Source organism: Homo sapiens, chromosome 12 (genome assembly GCF_000001405.40).
Source record: "Homo sapiens chromosome 12, GRCh38.p14 Primary Assembly".
Taxonomy (NCBI): Eukaryota; Metazoa; Chordata; class Mammalia; order Primates; family Hominidae; genus Homo; species Homo sapiens.
Window position 1 is genome coordinate 48,147,645 of NC_000012.12, and position 12,234 is coordinate 48,159,878.

At 43.4% G+C, this 12,234-nt stretch overlaps 1 protein-coding gene across 7 annotated transcripts, besides 4 other annotated features; it reads right to left on the reverse strand.

Annotated features, from left to right (window-relative positions):
* On the reverse strand, window positions 145-9,871 carry ASB8 (ankyrin repeat and SOCS box containing 8). Of its 7 annotated transcripts, none has more exons than NM_001319301.2 (5): window positions 9,815-9,871; window positions 5,724-5,881; window positions 3,557-3,661; window positions 2,443-2,496; window positions 145-2,354 (listed from the first exon to the last, which is right to left on the reverse strand). In NM_001319301.2, the coding sequence occupies exons 2-4, from the start codon at window positions 5,850-5,852 to the stop codon at window positions 2,473-2,475; spliced, it is 258 nt and encodes an 85-aa protein (NP_001306230.1). In that variant the 5' UTR covers window positions 5,853-5,881; window positions 9,815-9,871; the 3' UTR covers window positions 145-2,354; window positions 2,443-2,472. The 7 variants fall into 7 exon arrangements, with proteins under 7 accessions (NP_001306230.1, NP_001306228.1, NP_001306229.1 ...); NM_001319299.2 differs by lacking the exon at window positions 2,443-2,496 and adding an exon at window positions 3,921-4,021; NM_001319300.2 differs by having other exon boundaries at window positions 5,724-5,885.
* Window positions 9,655-10,177: an enhancer, noted in NCBI's record as "NANOG hESC enhancer chr12:48551082-48551604 (GRCh37/hg19 assembly coordinates)". NCBI's record gives its function as "activates a minimal SCP1, AML or CMV promoter by ChIP-STARR-seq in naive H9 embryonic stem cells {active_cell/tissue: H9 hESC(naive)}" and the evidence as "EXISTENCE:reporter gene assay evidence [ECO:0000049][PMID:30033119]".
* Window positions 9,682-9,731: an enhancer, noted in NCBI's record as "active region_6280". NCBI's record gives its function as "activates an Ori minimal core promoter by ATAC-STARR-seq in GM12878 lymphoblastoid cells {active_cell/tissue: GM12878}" and the evidence as "EXISTENCE:reporter gene assay evidence [ECO:0000049][PMID:35858748]".
* Window positions 9,752-9,801: an enhancer, noted in NCBI's record as "active region_6281". NCBI's record gives its function as "activates an Ori minimal core promoter by ATAC-STARR-seq in GM12878 lymphoblastoid cells {active_cell/tissue: GM12878}" and the evidence as "EXISTENCE:reporter gene assay evidence [ECO:0000049][PMID:35858748]".
* Window positions 9,832-10,051: an enhancer, noted in NCBI's record as "active region_6282". NCBI's record gives its function as "activates an Ori minimal core promoter by ATAC-STARR-seq in GM12878 lymphoblastoid cells {active_cell/tissue: GM12878}" and the evidence as "EXISTENCE:reporter gene assay evidence [ECO:0000049][PMID:35858748]".

Genomic DNA, 12,234 nt, shown 5'->3' on the forward strand with positions numbered 1-12,234 from the left:
TGTTCACTCCAGCAATGCCCAGAATCACTGCTGCTAATGGGAGAAAGGTTGGGATGGAAAGTTACATAGAACAGCCAGGCAGTAAACGAAGAACTTTTTCTAAGGGGGGTTGGAGAAAAGTAGGAAAAGTAGAAATTGCCAAACTTGCTTTTAGAACTATTTATTCTTTTTTTTTAAGTGATGTTTTTTAAACACCAGCATCAATAGGACAGAAGAAGACATCTGTTTTCCAATTAGCTGTGTCAGTAGATTCCATTCATTGTTTGTAGTTCCCAATCAGCTTTAAAAAAAAAAGTTTTTCAAATTTGCATACAAGTCATCTAAAATCAATAACAACTTGATCTAATTTAGAAAAATGAAAGAGTATCGTTCACTAAAGCAGATCTCTTTTGGGTAGATGGACCATCACAAAAGGAGCTCTTACATGCTTTTCCCACTCCCATCCCAAGTCCACCCTCCCACCAATTGTATTGTATAAATCAATAAAAAGCAAAGGTTCCAGAACAACTGAAAGAAAAATAATTCCAAACTAAGCAGAGTGAACTTTCCATTGGGAATGAAGACCCATGGGAAAAGGCAGCCCAGCCCATAACTCCTCCCTGCTGGAACACACACCGTAGGTGTAGGAACTGCCTGGGAATCCCATTAGAACACACTGTTTCTCAGGAAGAGAAAAAGCTGCATTACAAGAAAAGTTCTCAGGACTTTAGGAGTTCTTAGGACTGTTATTTCAGAGCTATTTATTACTGTTATTACAGAGCTCTTGTTATTTCAGAGCTACTGTAGCCCTTGGGCACAACCAACAGAAAGAGGCAAAGACTGCTGTTTCCTTTGATGAGGGGAAAGAGGTCCAGTCCCTTCCAAATGCCCCAGGACATGGCACAGTAGGGATGTCATCCAGCCCAGTTCTGGATCTGCACCATTTGAGGTTATAGTATCTTCATCTTTGGGACACAATTGCTGTTAGCTGAAATTGTGATTTTCTTAAGTTTTTTCACAGATCAATTAAAATGGTTTTTTTTTTTTTTTTTTTTTTTTGAGACAGTTTTGCTCTTGTTGTCCAGGCTGGAGTGCAATGGCGCGATCTTGGCTCACTGCAACCTCTGCCTCACAGGTTCAAGCGATTCTTCTGTCTCAGCCTCCTGAGTAGCTGGGATTACAGGCGCATGCCACCATGCCCAGCTAATTTTTGTATTTTTAGTAGAGACGGGGTTTCATCATATTGGTCAGGCTGGGCTCGAACTCCTGACCTCAGGTGATCCACCTGCCTCAGCCTCCCAAAGTCCTGGGATTACAGACGTGAGCCACCATGGCTGGCCTAAAATGCTTTCTAGAAGGGATTCTTCTGGACCGTTAACCACGTCCCCAAAGGAAAACCACACACACATTATTTAAGTACTTTCCATCTTCCTAGAGAAATTTAGTTACACTGTTGACTCCTTCCCTAAAGGGGAGGATTGAGGGAGACCTCTTCTTTTGCAAAATGCAATATAAAAAGCCAGGTAAGCAATAAACAGAAAACAAAAGTGAGGGATTTTTTTTGTTGGGTTGTTTGGTTTGGGAAGGGGAGGTGCTATGGAGGTTATTGTTGTGACATGTTGCTTCGAAATCTATAAACCACACAACAGGAACAACTGTTTTTCTGTTTTCTGTGACAAGGAGTACTGCAGGGACAACCTCACCCAGAGCTGCCTGCACGATGGTGCAAACATCTTCTCCGGCTATTCTAAAAGTAACAGGTATTCCTTCAAAGAAGCTGGCAGTGGAAGGCCCTTCACTGCATCGGGGAGATACTGGAGTCCCAGGCTACGGCGCACGGCATAGCGAGCGAGTGTTTTTAGAGTTCCTGGAGCTGAGCACAGAACAGTCAGTTTTTCACATAGCTGCGGGTCTCTGGCCACCTCTCGTGGCATGGTGCCATTTTTCCTCAATTCAAAGTGTCCAACAGCTCTGTGGAGGAGCTCAAAGCAAGAGTCCTCTTTCTCTGTTCCAAGTCCCCTGACTAGCAGAGCCACCAGGCGGGAGATGGGTGTCTGGCCTATTAGGTTGATGACTCTGACCTCTGCGCCATAATCCAGAAGGATGCTGACACTCTCAAGATTTCCCTTCATGGCAGCCCAGCTGAGCGGTGTATCATTGTTGTAATCCAGGGCATTGACAGAGGCCCCGCTCTCTAGGAGAGCCCGCACACACTCAGCATTGTTCTTAAAGGCTGCCCAGTGAAGTGGGGTATCTCTGTTGCCATCCAAAGCATTGGGGTTTGCACCATACTCCAATAGGACCTCCACACAAGCCTCATCTTTCTCTGCTGCATAGTGGAGGGCTGTTCGGTTATACCCATCCAGGGCATTCACCTGTAAAAAGGGAGGAACTATTACAGTAGACAGACTACTGAGAGGAAGACAGGACAGCAGCAAAGAAGCTTGCATGGTTACCCACTACCTTTGCTATGCAGTGCTCTGAACAGGAGGGTCAGCAAGCAACTCCCAGGGAGTCCTGGTGATAAAGATGAAGATATGACAGGAGCTTAGGAGCAAAAAGGAAAAGAACTGTCCTCAAACAGTCAACACTATTATGTGCACTGACTAGCTGGTCTGCATTATTTTGGTTTTTGCTGCAATGTTCTTTTATCTATTCATTAGAATCTCTACCACAGAGTAAGGGGTAAGGCAGGAATAGAGGAAGTCTAAGTCCCCGTAACTGCTCTGAAACATTACTGGAAAGCTGCTTGACTATACAGAGTTTTGGATTATTTTACTTACCCTGACCCTTTCTGTACCCTGTGGCTAATGTAGCAACCAAACTGAAAAACATAGCTTTTGCTAAGTTCTTTAACCATACAGAGAAATTCAAAATGTTAGAATATAAGTCAGACCTTTGCAAAAATATGCTGTGGGTTCACAAGAGAACCCAAATGAAAGCATGTGATAGGAAGAGCACAAATCTCCCAGTGCTGGAAAAGCAGCTGGCTTGCTGACAGTCAGCATCACCTGTAGTTTTTTTCTTCAAATTTCCAAATAGCATATACCCTCATTAATGAAAGACAAAAACAAAAAAAAACCCTGAAACATTTAAGTAAATTCAACCTTTTATTTGGCTAAAACCTATCTTAAGTACCACTTCTTAAGTACTTTAAGTACTTTTAAGGGTACTTTAGATTTAATCAGAGTTGAGGGATCTCTGCATTTATATCTCCTGGATAGACAATAAGCAATGAGAAGATTAAACGGAAATATAAACAGCCCCTACAAGGTAAGCTTCCTGAAGTGATGGCCAGTGACAGCTTAAGTTAAGGAGAAGAAAGAAAGGCAGAGTATCAGCACCATACAATGGGGGCAAGCAGGGTGGGGACAGAAAGGTAAAAGAATGAAATCCTTAGATCATTTTATATATTTACCATTACATTTTCCTTAATATTGGCTATGCCAACATTACCTTGAGTTAGAAGTTCAGACTGGAGGAGGGAAGAGATGGAGGAGTGATGGGGAGAAATTCTAAGAAAACATGAAGCTCAAGTTTTAGTGAGTCATTAATGTGAATGTGTTAAAAACATTACCTCGGCTCCTTTTTCCAGAAGTAACTCCACACAGTCAGCATCTGACACCATACAGGCACAGTGCAAGGGCTTCAGTGTGCCATGAGTGCAGTTCACATCTGCTCCCTGTGGGCAGAAGACAACTTCAGTCAGTGTGTTCAGCTCTGGCTTGCCCAGCAGGACAGAATTCAGAACTGAGTCCAGGGGACAGAGAGTTCTAACTCTCACTATTTTATAGATACAGTGCTAGTTCCTGTTTCCTTTTCTATTAATATTATGTCAATGTCCAAACCAAAGGAGTACACTGAAGATGAAGGAAAGGAACTGTTAATTCCTTAGATCAAGTTACTAAGTTTCTCCACAAGGGAGGCTGCCAGATGGTCACCTGGACATCACTGAAGACAATCTTATGTATCAAAGCACTGGAAACCTTATCATCAGGCAGGAAAGCTGGACCAGCAATCCACTTTCTATGGCCACCATGCTCTGGAAAAGTAGGAAAGTGAGTCTGTCAGACTGAGGCCAGAAATGGCATGCTCTTTTGTCCATTCAACAAATGACCATCATTAATAGTGGCATCATCTTAACACGGTTTTTCCTTTTTTATAAACATCTTCAAAGTAGCCTCTTAGTATCAGTATTCTTTACCATCTAGCCTTTGCTGGTGCTTCTATTCAAAATCAAAGGAGAGGCCGAGTACAGTGGCTCACACCTGTAATCCCAGCACTTTGGGAGGCTGAGGTGGGCAGATCACCTGAGGTCAGAAGTTTGAGACCATCCTGGCCGACATGGTGAAACCCGGTCTCTACTGAAAATACAAAAACTAGCTGGGTGTGGTGGCGGGCATCTGTAATCCCCGCTACTCGGGAGGCTGAGGCAGGAGAATCGCTTGAACCTGGGAGGCGGAGGTTGCAGTGAGCCAAGATCGCGCCATTGCACTCCAGCCTGGGCGACGAGCGAAACTCCGTCTCAAAAAAAAAAAAAAAATCAAGGGAGATGGAGATACCAGTCAGACCAAAGTCACTGAATGACTCAGCAGCAGAGCTAGAATTAGAATGTTACAAGGTTTCTACCGCGGAGTCTCCTGACACTACTTTTGCTGACAATAAGCTAACACTGCATGACTTTTCCTTCTTCAGTTGTGTCCAATAACTCTGAAGCAGCTACAGAGATCTAGGCTGTAAATGACGAGCCTGAAGTCTTAGAATATACACAAGTAACCATCTGGATGCATTTTCTGGTGATCAAAAACTGTGTAACTTCTCTTCAACAAGAAAAATAAATAGAAGAGGATAGTAAAGACCTTCTAGGATACTAGTCACATAACAATTATTGAAGGGCCATGATTAAACATCCGATGGTTAAGGTGTTTTCTTAAACTATAATTACCATGCATTTTAGAGGTTGATATCCTCTACAGAGCTAGAAGTGGTAGCTGCTTTTAACATAGAATGTAAGTAAAAAATCTCTCCATGTAATTATTGTAACCCAGGTATGAAGAAAGGCTCACAAGGATTTAAAAACCACCTCTGTAGCCAGGCACAGTGGCTTACACCTCTAATCCCACGACTTTGGGAACCCAAGGCAGGTGGGTTGCTTGAGCATGAGAATTCAAGACCAGCCTGGGAAACATGGTGAAACACCATCTCTACAAAAAATTAAAAAAAAAAAAATTAGCTGGACATGGGTGGCATGTGCCTGTAGTCCCAGCTACTTGAGGGGGCTGAGGTGGGAGGATCGCTTGAGCCCAGGAGGTCAAGGCTGCAGTAAGCCATGTTTGTGCCACTGCACTCCAGCCTGGGTGACAAAAGTGAAGCCCTGTCTCAACAAATAAAAATAAAAACCACCTCTGCTTTGCTCACCTCCTCCCTTAATAAAACATGTATAGAAGACTTTGAGCTCAATGGATTACATATGCATCGTACTCAGATATTTTACAAAGAACATGAGACTAGGGTTATTGAGAACATATTCCATGAAGAAAAATATCAGATACACAAAGTGAAAGGGAGAAGGGAAGCGAAGCAAACATAGGGGAAATACATTTTAATGATCAAGTTAATGCAGTTAGCAAAATGTAAAAACTCCCTGTGATCTTGGGTTGAGTCAAAGCTGCAAATCTGTGATCCATGAGGATTTTGCCCACTTCATATCGCAAGGACTCTCCTGTCAATACCAGCACACTCACCCCTCTGATGAGGTCCTCTACATTATCATGTGGGAAGGAACGGATGGCAGCAATTGTTCGGATTAAGCGCTCGGAGAGAGAGTATTTGCTCTGAATGCTCTGCATAATATACCACATACTGGAACTCATCAAGGCTCAAGGTGTTCACATGCTCCAAACTGCCTGAAACAAAGAAGTTTTCGGCATATACAATATCACTGAGCACACCTGTCTTTAGGGTTAGGTCTTCTCTGAGGCCTTCCCAATGCTAAAAGCAGATTTCAAGGAGTGATTAATACTATTTCCATAATCATAAGGAATTGGATTATAATAGTTGCCTAGGGAGTTGGATAAACCTGGACACAAATGTTCTACTCTAACCTAGTCTAGCACGAGATTTCCCCAAGAGGTACTAAGACCCCCGTGGAGCTCTGTGTGGTTTACAAACGACTAGGCAAGGAATAGGATTTTTAAAAGGCTGAAGAGGTCAAAAAACATTATTTTCCTTCTTTGAATTTTTGTGGTTTTTATGATCAGCACCACCATTAAGTTATTTATAACACTGGGCCTTGCAATATAGTTATGTACATATTGTTTCTCCATCGAAACTGTAATCAACTGGAAGGCAAGGACTTTGTCTTCTACTTTTTCACCCATGTAAGGCCAGCCACAGAATCTCACAAAAGGTAGGTATTTAACAAATATTGGTTGGTCGACTGACTAAACAGTATAGAAGTGATTGTTATGTGTGAAAAGAGAGGAAGAAGGCTATGGAGCAAATATATCTTAATAATGAAAAGTTATCTGAAACATTTTCAAATGTGTTCAGAAGAGGAAAAAAAGGAAATATTTGGCAGGGCGTGGTGGCTCATGCCTGTAATCCCAGCACTTTGGGAGGCCGAGATGGGTGGATCACAAGGTCAGGAGATCCAGACCATCTTGGCTAACACAGTGAAACCCCGTCTCTACAAAAAATACAAAAAAATTAGCTGGACGTGGTGGTGGGCGCCTGTAGTCCCAACTACTTGGGAGGCTGGGGCAGGAGAATGGCGTGAACCTGGGAGGCAGAGCTTGCAGTGAGCCGAGATCGGGCCACCGCACTCCAGCCTGGGCAACAGAGTGAGACTCTATCTCAAAAAAAAAAAAAAAAAAAAGGAAATATTTGAGGTAGTATTCTAAAATAGGTAAGGAAAGCAAAAGTATAACTACCCTGGAGTCATTTATATAAAACTAGGAAAAAATTAAAATTCAGAATAATAAAATGTACTTTCAGTTTTAGGAAAATTTGCAGATTTTAAAATGAGTTAAAGGTGGGGCGTGGTGGCTCACACCTGTAATCCCAGCACTTTGGAAGGCTGAGGTGGGTGGATCACCTGAGGTCAGGAGTTCGAGACCAGCCTTACCAACATGGTGAAAGCCCATCTGTACTAAAAATACAAAAAAAATTAGCTGGGCATGGTGGCGCACGCCTGTAATTCCAGCTACTCGGGAGGCTGAGGCAGGAAAATAGCTTGAACCCAGGAGGCAGAGGTTGCAGTGAGCTGAGGCTGCACTACTGTACTCCAATCTTGGCAACAGAGTGAGACTCCATCTCAAAAAAATAAATAAAATGAGTGAAAATTTTTAATAATTGGCTATTCATGGCAACTGAGAAATAGATTTGGTGAAATATATGTTGAAACCACAATAGGACAGAGTTCTAGGATGGAAGAAGAAAATAATGCAATATACTTCAATTCAACTTAAAAGGCTTGGCTGTATAAGAGACAAGAGTTAGGGACCATTTAAAATTACAGCCAATAAGGTAGAACACTTCTATGAAACAGTACATATCAAAAACAATAGGGAAAATATAATACACAGTATCAGCTCTCTAGGTGCAACTGCTTAGAAATCTGTGTTCTTATTATAAGCTCTTTGGGAATAACGATACTGATTTTTTCAATAGTACCTGAACACATGGTAGGTTCTTAACATCTGTTGAACCAATGTAAAGTTTATTACTTTAGATCCTAAGAAATTCAAGACTTGAAATAAATAAGCACATTACCCATATGAAATTGTTTTGGTCATTTAATAATATATAATGTTTTGGCGGGGCGCGATGGCTCACGCCTGTAATCCCAGCACTTTGGGAGGCCGAGATGGGCGGATCACTTGAGGTCAGCAGTTCGAGACTAGCCTGGCCAACATGGTGAAACCCCGTCTCTACTGAAAATACAAAAAAATTAGCCAGGCATGGTGGCATGCACCACCCCTGGTAGTCCCAGCCACTTGGGAGGCTGAGGCAGGAGAATCGCTTGAACCTGGGAGGTGGCGGTTGCAGTGAGCTGAGATCGCGCCACTGCACTCCAGCCTAGATGACAGAGTGAGACTCCATCTCAAAAAAAAAAAAAATATATATATATATATGTATATATAGTCTTTTGCTTTATTTTTTTTTTTTTGAGGCGGAGTCTCACTCTGTCATCTAGGCTGGAGTGCAGTGGTGCGATCTCAGCTCACTGCAACCTCAGCCTCCCAGGCTCAAGCAATTCACGTTCCTCAGCCTCCTGAGTAGCTGGGATTTACAGGTGTGCACCATCACGCCCAGCTAATTTTTGTATGTTTAGTAGAGACAGGGTTTCACCATGTTGGCCAAACTGGTCTCAAACTCCTGACCTCAGGTCATCCACCTGCTTTGGCCTCCCAGAGTGCTGGGATTACAGACATGAGCCACCATGCCCGGCCTATTTTTGCTTTTTGTGATTGTGTATCCCTTTATATATTATATACTATAAATTCTGATAGTTTCTATTTTGTGAATCAGTAGCCATTTATAGTAGATGTAAATTCCATTAAAAGAATGCAAGTAAAAATATTCATATGTATCGATAATTCAAATTAGGTATTTTTCTCCCGTTATCATGCACGGATAAGCTGACACACTTGTTTATATGTCTCTATGACATTTTCTAGATAGTTTAGATTTGGCATGTGTTTTAATCTCTCCAGTAGCCACTAAACTGCTCTGAGACAAGTATCTGTATCTTATAATTTTTTTGTTTCAAGGAAAAAAAAAGACAAGTGCATTTGAGTTGGTAATTCCAAGAATGGCAGCAGAAGACAGAGCATCTAAAGCAGGAGGCTTGGACCAAAGTGGTTCTGTTGCCTGTAATCCCAGCACTTTGGGAGGCCAAGGCAGGAGGAACTCTTGAACCTGGAAGTTCAAGACCAGCCTGAGCAACATGGCGAGACGACCCCAAAACCCAATCGTCTCTACAAAAAAATTCAAAAATTAAAATAAATAAATAAAGTCGTTTTGTTAACCATTTCTGGGCCATGATAATCGGATGAAACTAAATCCTGAACTAATTTCCCGGGCGCTCTTGGGCTCTGGGCTAAGAACTCCTGAGAGTATGGTCAGTGGTCTGCTGCTGCCTGGAAGCTCCCGGTAAAGGAATGAAACTTCAGGGCAGACAGCATTCACTTCAGGAATGGTCAAGGAAAGCTAAATTCGATCTCACTAGACAGCAGCCCGTGTAAGGTTTGATCCCCTTGGAAGGCCCTTTCCTCTGCTAGAGCTGAAAGCCCTGTCTCCCTCGTTTTCTTTTGCTACGGGATCCAGAGAAAACACCAAAGGGCACTTACTGAGAAGCTGAAAAAAAAAAAAAAAAAAAGCAAACTGGAAAAGAGAAGACACAACAGCTCTGATGCGAGGGAGGCCTCGGCCCCGCCCCCTCCCGCCCCGGGAGAACCTTGGCCGAGCCTGCAGCGCCCGTAATCCCCACCGCACCTGCTGCGGGAGGGCCCGCGGCAGCTGTCTCGCTGAGGCTAGGGGGCGGGGGGCAAGGGCACGAAACGCAAGGACGTGCGGTGTCACTTTCTGCACGGGCTCTAAACAGATCGCAGCAATCCCGGTAGGTCCGGTACTGAAAGAGAATCACGCAATTTGCGCTGGGGGGCCTCAGACGCGGACCAACCCCCTCTTCGATCTGCCTTCTAAGGCCCGGAAATAAGTCTCAGCCTCGAGAACTAGAGCACTTCGACCAGGGAGTAGAGGAAGCGTTATTGGGCGTGGTACCCTGGGTTAGGAAACCTGGCTGTAGACCCACTCCAAGGACCGCACTCACCGAATTGCTGGGCTGAGGTGGGGGTTGAAAGCCGCTGTCAAGGCGTGACCCGGAAGCAGAAGCTGTCGGGGGCAGGCCCTCTGTTTACCGGACTAGAAGACCAACTAAGATGGGCGCCTGCGCACTGATGAGTGTTCGTCAGCGGGGCGCGCCTGCGCAGACTTGTGCAGCAGCTTTCGCCCTCCAGAGGCCTAGTTAGGGGGTTACTTTCTCCTTTTACTCAGAGGCTTTGCGCGCAGGCTCAGTGCAGCGTTCTCGGCCACAGCCGCAGGGTTCGGGTCTTGGTCCTGCAGCGGGGATAAAAAAGCTCAGGAACCCTGAGTGTTGGGCCGATTCTATATGGTTGCACCTGCGTGGACCAGGCCAGCAGGGGTCCATCCACAATGGTTCAGTTGCTTAGGAGACTAAACTCTTAGTAGGAAGTGTCTTTGACAAAAATACTTACAGCATTATTCATAATGGTGGAACGAATCTATGCTCCTTAGAACCCTCCTGTACATGTCCACCCTCCTTCAAGTAAACCATATCAAAGACAAACTCAACCACCCAAGAGGTGTAGTATTCTAAATGTAGAGGAATAAATGACCTTTATAACTCTTATTAGGGTTAATGAAACTTCCCGCACAAAAACATGATGACACCTCTGAGTGACAGACTTTCTGTGCAAAGCATAAACATTTTGAAGTCAGCAGCACATGGTGGTGGTGCATGGAAGGAGTGAAGCAGCAGCCCATTTAGGCAGACTGCAAGAGTTGTGGTCTGCCCGGTAGCCTGTTTAACCAGAGTGCCCCACACCTACTCCCCAGAGCTTGTTCTAAGCAACCAAATCTAACCAATTAGAGATTTAAAGCAGGCCCAGACAGATCATGTACATCAGTAAGAGGATGGTAAACTGAAAGTTCATGACCTGGTCTGAGGAGTGGGCCTCCTTTGAGCTCCAGACTCAAAGGAATTTTGCCAGGTAGGAATATGCCCTCCACTTCCTGCCACTGCACCATGGTGAGATCGTCCATTTTTCAAAAGAAGCTGAAATACAGATTTTTTTTAAAAAGTGAATTTTTCCAAGTTGCAAATGTTGGCAATGTTTTTATTATTATTATTATTATTATTATTATTATCATCATCATTATTTATTTTTGAGATGTAGTTTCGCTCTTCTCACCCAGGCTGGAGTGCAATGGCGTGATCTCGGCTGGCTGCAACCTCAGCCTTCCGGGTTCAAGTGATTCTCCTGCCTCAGCCTCCTGAGTAACTGAGACTACAGTCACCTGCCACCACACCTGGCTAATTTTTTTTTTGTATTTTTATTAGAGATGGGGTTTCACCATGTTGGCCAGGCTGGTCTCAAACTCCTGACCTCAGGTGATCCACCCTCCTCGGCCTCCCAAAGTGCTGGGATTACAGGCATGAGTCACCACACTGGACCACATCTCTCAAATTTCTTGGTTGGGAAATGCTGAAGTATATAAATTCTGGGAAACCATCAGCATCTTACAAATGTAAGAATGAGCGGAGTCTCCCAGGGAGTGATAAAATAGGCTCTCAATACAGGTTATTTTACTTATTTATTGAAAAACTGAGTACACTTTTATTTTACTTGGCCTGCAACTCAGTATATGCAGAAAACTACTCTATGTCACACTCATGATCAATATCTTCTTATTTCCATTTGGCATGTCATTGAAAACCTAGCCCATCACTTAGCTAAAAATCACATAAGAGACCCCTAGAGAAATCAAACTAACTTTTTTTCCCCCCAAACAATAGATCTCATCTTTATTAGTCAAATCAGTACCTGCTGATAGGGCAGTGGAGCAAGCCTGACAGTGATATTCATTAACAAAGAAGACAAAACTTATGCTTTCAAGTACAAAGATAAACTTTGAATGGCAGAGAGCCTAATCTGACTATCATCAGCCACCAAGAACACAGAAGAGCAAATAACTCAAGAAGAGAGAAGCCAAAGTGCTATAAAAATTATTCTTTTCTGTGAAATTCAGTTCCACAGCCTGTATGAGCAAGGGTCCAAAACACTGGAGAGCCAATAAAGCTGCTGGGAGGGCCCATTCATAATGGGAGATGCACTGGCTGTGCCTCCCTTGCTGTGTCCTTCCATGAGCGTCCTCCACTCTTCACTGACTTCATTTAGACTTGGTCCTCTGGTCTCACCACAGCTACCTGGGAGACTTTGAGTTGTAATCTTACAGTTTCAAGAGTCTATTTTGACTGAACCCAGGAGTAACATGCCAATCCAAAATAGAAACATTCTCATGGTACAATGGTGCAAAGGTCATTCTGTAGGTTGCATATATATAACATATATATATACACACAATATATATATTACATATGTACTATATATTACAGATATACTATATATATTACATATATATACACAATATATATATTTCTATGGAAGA